This window comes from Homo sapiens, chromosome 5 (assembly GCF_000001405.40).
Source record: "Homo sapiens chromosome 5, GRCh38.p14 Primary Assembly".
NCBI classification, from domain to species: Eukaryota; Metazoa; Chordata; class Mammalia; order Primates; family Hominidae; genus Homo; species Homo sapiens.
The window spans coordinates 130,975,875-130,990,471 of record NC_000005.10 but is presented as its reverse complement, the minus strand read 5'-3'; the positions used below and the strand labels follow the sequence as shown (position 1 = coordinate 130,990,471).

The following is a 14,597-nucleotide window of genomic DNA, read 5'->3' as shown; positions in this document are numbered from 1 at the left end:
TTCCACCAAAAACTTTTTATTGGCCTTTTTGATGGAAACGGGTTTATTTGTCAGGAAGGATGATCCCATCATACTTATGCTGGAAGCAACGCATCATCTCCTCTTTGCTGAGTCTGTGTTTGGCCCCAGTGCAGCCTGTCCTGTGCTTCTTGTCTGTGATGCTGAAACCTGGCCTACCCAGCACCACAGAGAAGTCCAGGCCGTAGATACCAATGCTTGGGTCATATATGATACCCAAATCGATGTGTTCCTGGATCCCAAAACCAAAGTTTCTAGTATCTGAGAAGTTATTTTTTCTTAACTCATACTTCTGCACCTTTAGATCCTTCTCCAGGATTTCTTCTGCCTTGGATCCTTGAACTGTGCAGTGGACAGCAATCTTTTCATTTCTCTGCATGCCAGAGGATCTGATTGTATCTAGCTCTGGAAAACACAGGACTCTGCCCTGTGAGCTGCTCCAATGCCTTGGCTGCTCGGGTTAGTCTGTCTCCACTCTCCTCCACACAGATGTTGAGGCAGAGCTTGCAGATGTGAAGTTTCTGCATGGGGTTCTCCTTTTCACCTTGATCCGCCATGATAGAGAACAGGAAGAGCTCAGGTTCTCTTAAAAGAACTTTAGGAAACATCAAATGGGATATATTTTGGGCAGCTTCAGAAGCTCTACATCAGTCTCTGATCAGGCAAGAAATATCTGTATATGAAAAACCTGTAAATAAAATTTGCAGTTCATTCAACTTCAATGCAGCAAATTATATCCTTGATATTTGGAAAATCCTACTGATGTCTGAAAAGCAGTCTATTGTGGGATAGCCATTAAATTCTAGAATCTTTTAGTAATAAGATTGTATTTGGATGGGGCTACCTGTAGGGTAATGACATAATCCTCATTGTGAAATATAAACAACTGCAGAGGCAAGAGCTGCCATCAAGAATTATATGCTCCTAAGAGTGCCAGGTTGCTTTAAATTGTTTCTTCCTTTTACAGTGATACAGAAAGAGAGAAATCCCTTTTAATATCTCCATAAAATATTAAAATGTTGTCAGGATCTTCTAAAAGCCCCCAAAAATCTGTGCTTTCAGAAGTATGTTAGTCATAGTACTCAGAATCACATAGTTACCACCATGGTGTTCCCATAGACTGGCCACATATCCTTTAAATAGAGAGAGAATGTGGCCAGAAGTGTTCCTTCTTTTGGTTGCTGGAAATGAAAATGAGAACAATCTTACAATTTCAGAATTAGTCAGCAGGAGCCCACTTTTTTCCTAAGCATTTCTTTATTTGTGGATTTTCAGAATGGTACAATTTAGAGATTCAAATATGAAGCCTTCTTTCTCTACCAGAGAAAGGAAAAGATATGGCTCTATCCTGCGGTATATAATCTCCTTCAGAGGAGATTTCAGCTTTATAGATAAGTTAGAATCTCCTTTCCAGGATCTGAGTTCTACAATACACAATATTTTTAGGGCCTGAAAAAAATGACAATGTCCTCTCTTTCCTGAAGCACTTTTTGTAGTGGAAGACCTTTTCTTTACTGCAATATTTTATAAGTGTGGGCTTGGGAGAGAGAAAACGAAGACAGAGAAAAAAAATCATATAAGTAATTGTTCAGAATGTATCATCTATCATTATTTTCAAATACAAGTTCTGTCCTTGGAGCTGTTCTCTTGTTTCACTGATTTCCTAGAAAAATATGAAAAAGAAGGCGAGCCTGCTTATATAGTTTAAAGTTTCTTATTTCACTTTTCATATCCTGCTGCAGAACACACCCAGCATTTCTGGGACTTTGGGGTGGTGTTTGAACAGATATCCTCTGTTCAATATGTGCTCCATTGTCATTGTTGAGAAGACAATAGTTCCCATGTCTTCTGCATCCAGGTGACACAGGACAGATTGAATGCATCACCAAACAATGCACATCTCCTTTTCTATGATCATTTATTGTTGGAGAAGGAAGATACTTATTTTTATATTTGAGGGAACTGATGTCCAGAGATGAAAAATGATACGTTTAGAGGTCAATGGCTAGTTAGCAGTACAGTCAGAATGGCTGCAATGACTGCCCAGATATCTTGACCCTTTGTTTAGTGCTAATTTCCCCATTTTGTATTCATAAGCCTCTTTGGTGGCACACTTTTATTTGCTCTATCTACCTGAGACTCTGGGTTTCTCATATTAAGGACCTGCTTCCTGCCTTGGCAGAAGGCCCACCCTGACCTGCTCTTCTGTCAAAGCCTCCTGGCAATCTCCTTGCCTCTGGCTACATGCAGTAGCTTCCTTAAACATCTTGGTGGCTTCCCAATCAACCTCTAGTTCTGGTGCTATTTGTGACCCCTCTTCAATCTGCCTAATTCCCAAATTACTGCTTTGCTTTGCTGCCCAGGCTGGAGTGCATTGGCCTGATCTCGGCTCACTGCAACCTCCGCCTCCCAGGTTCAAGTGATTATCCTGCCTCAGCCTCCCAAGTAGCTGGGATTAGAGGCATGCGCCACCATGCCCTGCTAATTTTTGTGTTTTTAGCAGAGACGGGGTTTCACCATGTTGACCAGACTGGTCTCGAACTCCTGACCTCAGGTGATCTGCCCTCCTCGGCCTCCCAAAGTGCTGGGATTATAGGTGTGAGCCACTGCGCCTGGCCTTTGTTTTAGCTTTGACCTGGGGAGGGGAAGGAGGGGACACTTATCCTCTTCCTTATGCAACTAGGAATCTTCTCCTCAAGCTTTCTTTTCCCAGGAGTGGAGAGTGTTTGAGTCTCTTCTGCTCCTCTCTACCTCAGTGCTCAATTCTCCCCAGGGAGGAGGAGGGGTGGAGCTAATTGATCAGGCAATTTTACTAGTGAGTGTGATCAATATGCCTTTTGCTGGGGAAACTGGCTCTGTCCTGCCTCTCTTTGACCTGAGGCGCTGTACCTGCCTCTCTTTAACCTGAGGTGCCGTGGGCCTGCTCACATCTCTGGCCTCTTTTTTTTTTTTTTTTGAGACGGAGTCTCCTCTGTCACTTGCCCAGGCTGGAGTGCAGTGGTGTGATCTCGGCTCACTGCAAGCTCCACCTCTTGGGTTCATGCTATTCTCCTGCCTCAGCATCCTGAGTAGCTGGGACTACAGGCGCCCGCCACCACGCCCGGCTAATTTTTTTGTATTTTTCGGAGAGATGGGGTTTCACCGTGTTAGCCAGGACGGTCTCGATCTCCTGACCTCATGATCTGCCCGCCTCAGCCTCCCAAAGTGCTGGTATTACGGTTATGAGCCACCGCGCCTGGCCATCTCTGGCCTCTTAGTTCAACTCTCTAGCTGCAATGTTCTCCAGGTGATCACCCATGCGGCAGGATGCTGTCTTCCTTGAAGCTGGCTGGGTAAGTGGATTTGGTGTGCTCTACAGACTGCATTCCCCATAGTTTGGACCAAGATTTGGGAGGAGTCAGGACCATTATTTTGTCCCAAGGCTTAAAATTTATTCTTCCTCACAGTTGACAGTTGGGCCCTGTGTGTTGGAAGTTATTAGGTGCTGGCCCAGCCATTAATACAGCAGACACTGTGATTCCTGTTTGGCCATCCATTCTTTGTAGGACTTCTCCATTAGTTGGAACTTTTGTGGGAAGAAAAGTAAGCTTTAGACTCCCAAGTGTCAAAGATCTGCAATGTTGGGTCTTTTCTCCTGGTTACCCAGTTGTCGGAGGATGAATTGCCTGTCTCCTATACAATTTTTGGTCTGTCATTAGCTCCAGTTTCACTACTCAATTCACATTAATCAAAAACCATTTTGAAAAAATTGATTTAACAAGGAAAATAAATGATGTTTACTTAATACTTTTATACACTCTTTATCATACTAGTTATTGCATTCAGATTGTCTAGTTTATTACCTGTAACAACATAGTGATGGGATATTAATATACCCATTTTATAGATAACAAAACTTAGGCCCAGAGGGGGGAACTCTCAAAAGGTCATTCAGAGACACTCAAGATATCCCCATTTGTCCAGTACCTATTGTGTGCCAGGCATAGACCTAAATGTTTTACAGAGAGTATTTTGTTTATTATTTACCACAGTCCTGCCAGGGAGATATTATAGTCTCTGAGAAATTAACAACTTGCCAAGGAACATATATCAAAGGAAGGATGGAGACAGAACTGGAATTCACATCTTTCTGGCTCTAAAACTGCAAGTTCTTCCTAACATTTCAGGGTGCTTTCCCTTTACAAGTGCTCATTTTTCAACTAGATTTCTGAACTGTTAGGGAGACAAGTTTATTGTTTCAGGCCTGCACAGAATTGATAGTAGCAGTGAGAGTTCAGTTTCTCTCTCTGCCTTCCCATCAACTTCTCTCCCATTTCTGGGAATGGGGACAGAGAATTTAGAAAATTTATAGGTACACCATGTAATTTTGTTTGGAAAACCCTTCAGATGATTGAAATCTCTTAAGAAAAACCTGTACCTTCACTTCTCAGATTTCTGCCCAACGACAAGATCTATGGCTGTCTGTGTGCTCTTAGAGTAAGTGCTGCTCTCGTATTCCTGGCACATGGCCCTGGTTTGGTATTTCCTGGTGTCTTGTCCCAATTATGGGCTCCTTTGCCACTTACAACCCTCTAGTAAAAGACCAGGTCACTTCCCAGGAAGCAAATTATTTGATTAAGCAAGTATTTATGTAAAATTTGTAATATACACATTTAGAAAAAGATCAAATTACTAGCTGTACAAGTTTTGCCTTTTCTTTTTGCATTTTGTAATGTGTTTGATTGTCAAACTTGGAGGAGATAAAATGGACAGTAGTAACATTTCCATTAGAAGAAAGATTTCTGAAGAGCTTATAAGGAGGTAAATTTGAGTGGTAGGATGTTTCTTACATTTATTTAACAGTAGGCAACACATTTAAAGGTGCAGCAGGTTAACATGTACTGGGGAGAGCAAAGGTAAGAGATTGAAGGGTTCAGGTTGTCTTTGAAGATAAAAATGGGAAGCCTGAAGATGAATTTGAAGTCCCAAGAGAGGGGGAGGAAAAAGTGAGGTGTGAGAAACGTGATTTGAACTACACTAGATTTGACTTCTAAAAGTAAAAATGAAGATAATGCCAACATAGCTAGGTTAGGGGCAGTTTATTTGCTTATTTGTTATATTCTATCATAAGCTGGTTGCCAGTGGGATAAATACTAAAGAGGAGATGTACTACATGGCAATTCATTGGATAATCATACTAATAATCTATTTTTCCTAGAGTAAATACATTTATATTTAGACTTATAAAACTGGTTTATTGAACAGTCTGAACTGAGTGTGCATGAGGGACTAGAGTAGTTTTAATTTTTCTTTCCTTATTCCTGCCTTGATGCGTTTTCTTTCTAGTCTCATTATTTTGACCCTTTACAACATCTTGGGAAGATTCACAGCATTCTGATTGCTTTGAGTGTTTCAAAAATCTAGTACATGCCAGTTTAATCCACATGAAAACTTTGAACTCATCCTATGTGACACTCTGCCATGGTCCAAGATTTCAGGACAGTATGGCGGTTCCTCAAAAAAACTAAAAATAGAACTACCATATGATCCAGAAATCCTAGTTCTGGGCATTTACCCAAAGGAAAGGAAATCAGTATATCAAAGAGACATCTGCACTCCATGTTTATTACAGCACTATTTGGAATAGCCAAGATATGAAATCAACCTAGGTGTCCAACAACAGATGAACGAATGCATACACACACGATGGAACACTATTCAACCATAAAAAGAGTGAAATTTTGTCATTCATGGCAACATGGATGGAAATAAAGGACATTATGTTAGGTGAAATAAGCTAGTAACAGAAAGTTAAATACTGCATGTCTTCACTCAGTATGGAAGCTAAAAAAGTTTTGATCTCATAGAAGTAAAAGGTCAAACAGAAAATACTAGAGGCTGGGAAAGGCATGGAGAAGGAGGAAATAGAGAGTCTTGTTAAAGGATATAAATTATAGCTAGATAGGAGGAATAAGTTATAGTGTTGTATAGATGTAGGATGACAATAGTTAACAATAATATATTATATAGTTTCAAATAGCTAGGAGGATATTGAATGTTGCCAACACAAAGAAATGATAAATTTTGGAGATGATAGATATGCTAATTACCCTGATTTGATCACTATACATTACATGTGTCACAACATCACTATGTACTGCTGTGCGCAGTGGCTCACATTCGTAATCCCATTACTTTGGGAGGCTGAGGTGACAGGATTGCTTTAGGCCAGGAGTTTGAGACCAGCCTGGGCAACATGGTGAGACCCACTCTGTGAAAAAATAAAAATAAAAATAAATTATCCAGGCATGGTGGCATGTGCCTGTTGTTCCAGTTACTTAGGAGGCTGAAGCATGCGGATAGCTTGAGTCCAGGAGTTTGAGGCTACAGTGAGCTATGATTGTAACACTGCACTCTAGCCTGGGCAACAGAGCAAGACCTCATCTCAAAAAACAAAACTAAATAAAACTATATACCCCCTAAATATATACAATTATTATGTATCAATTAAAAACTTGAAAAAAAGGACAATATCCAGTTTGGTAGAAAGAACAAGCTATCTGGATAATAATGTCTAATAGAATATAAGGAATCTGGAGAATAGGAACAGGTCTTCATAAGTGGTTTTATTGTTTGTTTAAAAACAGTTGCATTGGATTGATACCAAGTGAATTCAGTTTATGTTTAAATGTCTGAAAAATCTGATATAATTAAACTATTTCAGTGACATTAATATTTTCAGTATGAAATCATAACTTTAATAAGTTATGTTTTCATAACTTAAATAATATGATTTTTAAATCATAACAGTTTAAAAATGATATATATGTATAATGCTATTATTGATTGTTTTAATATTCTAAAAGTAGTATAAGAGGGTCTTATGGTCTTATTATAGAAATATGAATTAAACACAAAAATATGGAAAAGGATAAAAAGTTAACTTTTAATAAATAAGAAACAGTGGATGTAGACCATTTTTATTCCATCCATCTACGGATCCACTAATCAATCATTTAAACAACCATTTATTGGGAGGCCACCACATTTTAGATTACAACTAAGTAAAGTCTGATAATCCATAAATCCTGATAATAAAATATGCCCAAGAAGGCCAATTTGTTTTTTCCATTACATCTCTTTTCTGAACTTACTTCAGATTTCTCTTTATAGTCTGTCTATTGCTTGGCCCAAGTGTTGTACCTTGCTCCAGTCTGCTGTGGCCAGTACTTTTGCCTTCAATGCTTTTGGCAAATGTTACCCAGAAAGCCACTCATCCTTGAGAACACTCTGAGGTGGCTAAACAAAGGCAAGCCACTTTGCCAGTTCCTTAGGGGGCCACTACACAGGACAAAATGGGCAATCATATTTCTTTAAGAACAAGTTCTGAGTTACTCCACCTGGTACTAGGAGTCTGTGCCAGGAGTGTGGGCTGCTACACGAATGGCTACTGCCAACATGAGATGTGAGGGATGGCAAGTGGGCAATTTAACATGCTAGGACACTCTCTTACCACAAAGCAGCAGCTTATTTTTTCACCCAGTCTTCAGCTGGTTGTTGAAAGTTTTTGGTTGATTCCAGAATTGTGTAAAGTTATTTCAGTTTTTGCCAGCTCATGAATTGCTTTTGTGGAGGGAAAAAGCCCTGGTGTTCCTACTCCACTGTTTTTGGTGATATCACTTTCATGGGTTTTCTTTAGGAATATGACACTGTAAAGGAAGTTAAAGGTCAGTCCTTCCTGTCTTTTGTCTTTTACTTAGAAGATAGCAATACATGAACTATTCACATTTGTAGAAAGAAAGTCTCATTTAATTAACATTTCTGACCCACACCTTCACCAATTCCTCTTTCTTTTTACAAGGAGAAACACTCTGTCTAATTGGCACCATGTGTAGAAGGCTCCTGTCTGCCTGCTCTAGGCGCCGTTTAAATTTCCCCTTTTATTTTTAGTTGACAAATGATATGCTTTGGCTGTGTCCCACCCAAATCTCATCTTGAATTGTAGTTCCCATAATCCCTACATGTTGTGAGAGGGACCCAGTGGAAAGTGATTGGATCATGGGGGCAGTTTCCTCCATGCTGTTCTCATGATAGTGAGTGAGTTCTCATGAGATCTGATGGTTTTATAAGGGGCTCTTCCCCCTTTGCTTGGCACTCCCTACCTCCTGCCGACTTGTGAAGAAGGTTCCCGCTTCACCTTCCACCATGACTGTAAGTTTCCTGAGGCCTCCCTAGCCATGCAGAACTGTGAATCAATTAAACCTCTTTTCTTTATAAATTACCCAGTCTTGGGCAGTTCTTTATAGCAGCATAAGAACAGACTAATACAGTAAATTGGTACCAAGGTAGTGGACTGCTGCTATCAGGATACCTGAAAATGTGGAAGTGACTTTGGAACTGGGTAACAGGCAGAGGTTTTGATGTAGGATTTTTCTCAGTCAATTTGCCAGCCAGGGACCTCTGGCTGGTGACGCCCCTCACTGGGACTCACTCAGACCCGCTACCTGCTGCAGGAGGCACCCTGCCCACTTGCCTGACCTGGGCTAAGTTTGGCTTGTGCGCTGGCTCAGCCTGTAGCTGGGCTGGGCATGCCCCAGCCTGCCTCTGTTATAGCTTGTACCTGTGTTCAGTGGTTCCTGAGCTCTTGTCCTGCATCCAAGAAGAATGAGGATACACTGTCAATTGAAGGGTGATGGGAGCGGAGAAGAATTTTATTGAGTGACGGAACAGCTCTAGTGGAGAGTGGACATGGGGGTTGTCCCTCACCCCCACAGTCAGGTGGTTTTTCTCCCAGTGTGGCTGAGTCCAGGGCTTTTGTGGGCTTAGACTATGGGAGTATGTGCTGACTGGTTTGTGAGTATGCAAGGCTAAAGCAAAAGACTAAAGCAAAGGCACAACTCAAATATGGTCATGGCAGTGTAGAAAACCAATTAGGAAAGGGTAGGTATATGTAAAATAGGTGAAGGGTGGGGATCAGTCAGAGGAGTGTGTCAAACGGGAAGACAGGTTCTCAATCCAGTCTGTGGATTTGACTTATAGCTAGGGTTTCAGGCTTTAAACAGTCTTTGGCTTATAGGTGGATTTTCACTGGGGATCTGTCCCTATCTGCCTAGGCATTTGTCTGCCTCCTGCCACTATTGCTTTGAACAGTTTGGAGGACTCAAAAGAAGACAGAAAAATATGAGAAAGTCTGGAACTTCCTGGAGACTTTGAGGGCTCAGAAGACAGGAAGATGTGGGAAAGTTTGAAACTTCCTAGAGACTTGTTGAATGTCCTTGACCAAAATTCTGATAGTGATATGGACAATGAAGTACAGGCTAAGGTGCTCTCAGATGGAAATGAGGAACTTGTTGGGAACTGGAGTAAATGCCACTCTTGCTATGCTTTAGCAAAGAGACTGGTGGCATTTTACCCCTGCCCTAGAGATCTGTGGAACTTTGAACTTGAGGGAGATGATTTAGGATATCTGGTAAAAGAAATTTCTAAATGGCAAAGCATTCAAGAGGAAGCAGAGCATAAAGGTTTGGAAAATTTGCAGCCTGATGATGTAGTAGAAAAGAAAAACCCATTTTCTGGGGAGGAATTCAAGCTGGCTGCAGAAATTTGCATAAGTAGTTGGGAGCTGAATGTTAATCACCAAGACAATGGGGAAAATGTCTCCAAGGCATGTCAGAAACCTTTACAGCAGCCCCTCTCATCGCATGCCCAGAGGAGAAAATGGTTTTATAGACCAGACCCAGGCACCCCCTGCTCTGTGTAGCCTTGAGACATGGTGCCCTGCATCCCAGCTCCTTCAGATCCAGCTGTGGCTAAAAGGGGCCAAGGTACAGCTTGGGCCATTGCTTCAGAGGGTGCAAACCCAAACACATGGTGGCTTCCATGTAGTGTTGAGCCTGTGAAAGCACAGAGGTCAAGAATTGAGGGTTGGGAACCTCCGCCTGGATTTCAGAGGATGTATAGAAATGCCTGGATGTTCAGGCAGAAGCTTGCTGCAGGGGCAGAGTCCTCATGGAAAACCTCTGCTAGGGCAGTGTGGAAGGGAAATGTGGGAGTGGAACCCCCACACAGAGTCCTTATTGGGGCACTGCCTAGTGTAGCTAGGGCAGTGAGAAAAGGGCCACCATCCTCTAGACCCCAGAATGGTAGATCCATTGACAGCTTGCACTGCGTGCCTGGAAAACTCACACTCTACACCCATCCATGAAAGCAACCGGGATGGAGGCTGAACCCTGCAAAACCACAGGGGCAGAGCTGTCCAAGGCTGTGGGAGGCTACCACTTGCATCAGTGTGACATGGATGTGAGACATGGAGTCAAAAGAGATCATTTTGGAACTTTAAGGTTTAATGACTGCCCTGTTGGATTTTGGGTTTGCATAGGACCTGCAGCCCCTTTGTTTTGGTCAACTTCTCCCATTTGGAACGGGTGTATTTACCCAATGCCTGTACCCCCATTCATTGTATCTAGGAAGTAACTAACTTGTGTTTGATTTTACTGGTTCATAAGCAGATGGTACTTGCCTTGTCTCAGATGAGAGTTTGGAATTGGATGTTTGAGTTAATGCTGGGTTGAGTTAAGACTTTGGGGGACTGTTGGGAAGGCATGATTGTGCTTTGAAATGTGAGGTCATGAGATTTGGGAGTGGCCAGGGACAGAATGATATAGTTTGGTGTATCCCCACCCAAATCTCATCTTGAATTGTAGTTCCCAGAATCCCTATGTGTCATAGGAGGGACCTGGTGGAAAATGATTGGATCATGGGGGCAGTTTCCCCCATGCTGTTCTCCTGATAGTCAGTGAATTCTCATGAGATCTGATGGTTTTATAAGGGGCTTTTCCCACTTTGCTCAGCACTTCTCTCTCCTGCCACCATGTGAAGAAGGATGTGTTTGCTTCCCCTTCTGCCATGACTGTAAGTTTCCTGAGGCCTCCCTAGCCTTGCTGAACTGTGAGTCAATTAAACCTCTTTCCTTTATAAATTACCCAATCTCAGGTAGTTTTTTGTAGCAGTGTGAGGACTAATTCAGCAATAATTGTACATATTCATGGGATACAGAGTGATGTTTTTATATGTGTCTACTATGTACAATGATCAAATCAAGATAATTAGCATATCCATCACAGCCATTTGTGTTGTGAACATTCAAAATCTGATGAGATTAATTCTTAAATCAGTTAAAGAATACTAACAACTGGTTGGTACTTAACCACTATTGTGGCTGAAGGAAATAGGGCATGAAGGAATGGCAAATTCTTAATGTTGGCTAGACAAGGTCATGTGATTATATGTGTATATACAATTGGAAGGGAATGCTTGTGGTTGGGATAGCCATGAGGACAACAGAAGTCTATTATTCTTAAGGGAGCTGCAACTAAAATGAAAGAGAGTTTGCAAAAATCAATCATACAACAAAAGATGAAAATACTGTGATACGTCTGACCTAAGATAATTCGGCTTTTAAAAAATATGTTTTAAATTAGAATTTTAAATAACTTGCATTTATCTCCTTCATGGGAATGTCTTTTAAGTGGACGCAAAATTTTAATCATTGCTTAATAAAACTATATACATATTTCTTTGCTAGAATGAACTTTGTCTCTCTGGAATGCCTCTGTCACCATTAGAATTAGTCAGATATTACGCCTCTACCATCATTTCAGGCAGTGGCAGACGGGTTTGTGCACCCTGATTGCTGTGTGCTCCTCCGCATTTCAACCCCAGGCACCTATATGTGAGTCACAGGATTTATTCTCACCAATGGGAAAGTGGGAAGAAATAATGTGCCATTTCTGATTGAAAGCAGTTAGAGTATTATAAACCTTTCCTTTGCTCCTCCAGGCAGCTGAAAAAGAAAAAGTGTAAGATAGCGTATTGCAAAATGGAAACATAACTTGTCCCTGAGTCACTGTTAAAGGAGAGCAGTACATATTACAGTGTCTGTGATATGAGTGAGAAGGAAACTTTTATTACATGGAGTTGCTGAGATTTCAGGATTTATTTGTTATTGTAGCATAATTTGTTATTTGAGTAATATACAGGGACACCATTACATTACTAGGAGTAAAATGGAATTACCTGTTTTGAAAGTAAGTTGTCATTTGATACCTGATTCTTTATATATTCCTTCTTTTCTGAACTTGAAAATTTGCTGTATTCCAAAAAGATATATATAGTGATGAATTTACTACTTTCATGCATCAAAACTGTATTTACTATATAATTCTGATTTTGCTGAAAAACACTCCATCACAAATCTAGGCCCATATTTACATTTGCAATGATACATTACAGAAGTTGGGAAGAAACACACCAAATTATTCATTTTGTTTTGTCACTGGCTGGGACAGAAGATGGCAATAGAAATGACAGAATTCTTTTTGTATTGAAAAATGTTCTATATTTTAAACATCCCCTTTAAAATCATTAGTTTTATAATTAGGGGCTGTATTCAGTGGCTCATGGAGAATCCCTTGAACCAGGAGGTTGAGGCTGCAGTGAGCCGTGATTGCACTACTGCATTCCAGCCTGGGTGACAGAGAGAGAGATCCTGTCTCAAAAAACAAACAAAATTAGTTTTATAATTAGGAAAGAAAATAAAAGTCATAAAAGAAAAATTTTAAAAGATAAAAATATGCTCCAAAGAGGGTATCCATGTGGTGAACAAGCACATGCAAAGATGTTCAACATCACTAAACATTAGGGAAATGCAAATTAAAACCATGGTACAGTACCACTACACAGCTGTTAAAATGGCTAAAGTTAAATCTATACTGACAGTACTAAGTGCTGACTTAACAGAACAACTGGAAATCTCATGCATTGCTGGTGGGAATGTAAAATGGTACAACCAATCTGGAAAACAGTTGGGCAGTTTCTTATGAAGTTAAACAGTAACTTACCATATGACCTGGCAGTCCCACTCCTAGGTATTTGTCCAGAGACATGAAAACAATACACAACAATACATAGTATATATAACAAAATAGTATTTTACATAATAATAAATGCTAGTTCCATTCTTCCTAAAGAAAATAACATGCCTGCCCAAGGGAGGTAAACAACAATGCAAGCCAAGTGCCTAGTCCATACAAAACCTGCACACAAATGTTTATGGCTACTCTACTTATAATAGCCAAAACCTGAAAATGACCTAAAGGACTTCATTGGGTGAATAGATAGCCAAATTGTGGTATGTCCATAGAATTGTGGTATGTCCATAGAAGGTATAGAATGCAATACGTCTCAGCGGTAGAATGGGATGATATGCTGGTACCTGCAATAAGACAGATGAATCAAAGGCATTACACTATGAAATAGAAGCCAGTCTCAAAAGGTTACATGCTGTATGATTTCATTTATATGGTAACCTTGAAAAGCTGTAGTGATAGAAAACATATCAGTGATTTCCAGGAGTTAGAGAAGCAGGAATGTGGATGTTTTGGGGTGATGGAACTATTCAGTGTCCTGATTGTGGTGATGTTTATACAAATCTATACCTGAGTTAAAATTCATAGAACTGTACACTGAAAAAAGTTAAATTTCATGGCATGTTGATTAAAAAATAAAATAAAAATAAAACAAAATCAGAAACAGAACAAATAATGCCTACCCTTCAAGCTCTGGTCTTTCCCACAACTACTTTTCTAGTCCATTCCAGGCCACATTGAGTTTCTCTTTTCTTCCTCTGAAAGAATATTGCTAAGTAGACCATTTATCATTTGGTTCTTATCAACAATAGAATGTACTTCCTAGATCCATAATTGTACTTAGAATAACATATTTGCTGACTACATCATTTATCACTGGACACTTACCAGTAATTGCTTTGCACTGTTGCACACCTCTCCCAGGTGGGCATGCTTTGTTTCTCTAGAAAGCATGGAGCTAGCACTCATTTTTATGTACACTACTATTTCTGCTCTGTCTGCTACATATTGATTTGTGTAATACTTCTTTTGTGTATGATGTGTGCAATACTATTGCTGCTGTGTATAATTCCATTTTATTTTTTATTCAAAACAAACTAGTGAGATAGGATTAATATTTCCATGTTTTTTTGAAGAGGAAACTAAGATTTGTAAAATTATAGGAAGTGTCCAGAGTCACATAAAAAGCAAGAGGCAAAGCTGTAGAGTAAGACGAGTTCTGGCTGACTCTAAAGCCCATGATCTTTTCCCTGTACCACTGTGCTGCTGCACAACCAGTTGGCATGCTACCCAAGGAAGAGACTTGTCTTCATTTCAGAATCCCAGTCAGTCCTCAAAGACTTCTTGACATTTGAATGAAAAAAACAAAAAACAAAAAACATTTAGTTCTGTTCTGTAGGATAGCTTTAAGCTGCTTGAATACTCTAGTTTGGCTGTATGCTTATCCCTCAGAGTGATTCTGACTTTACAAGGCCAGGTGTGGGGAGGTGGAGCTGGTGTGAGTAACTGGGGAAACAATGTGTGGGCTGCAGGAGCCAAGGCTAGGCTTGTTTCTTGGTGATTGTCCTGGAAATTAGGAATCATGCAGAAGAACAAATAATACAAAAAAGACACGAGAACCTTGAGAATGTAGCTCTAATGTCCAACAGCAGTCATTGTATGTAATGAGTTAAT

General features: G+C 40.3%; 1 pseudogene; it reads right to left on the bottom strand.

The window, feature by feature from the left end:
* On the bottom strand, nucleotides 1-593 carry RPL11P2 (ribosomal protein L11 pseudogene 2; annotated as a pseudogene).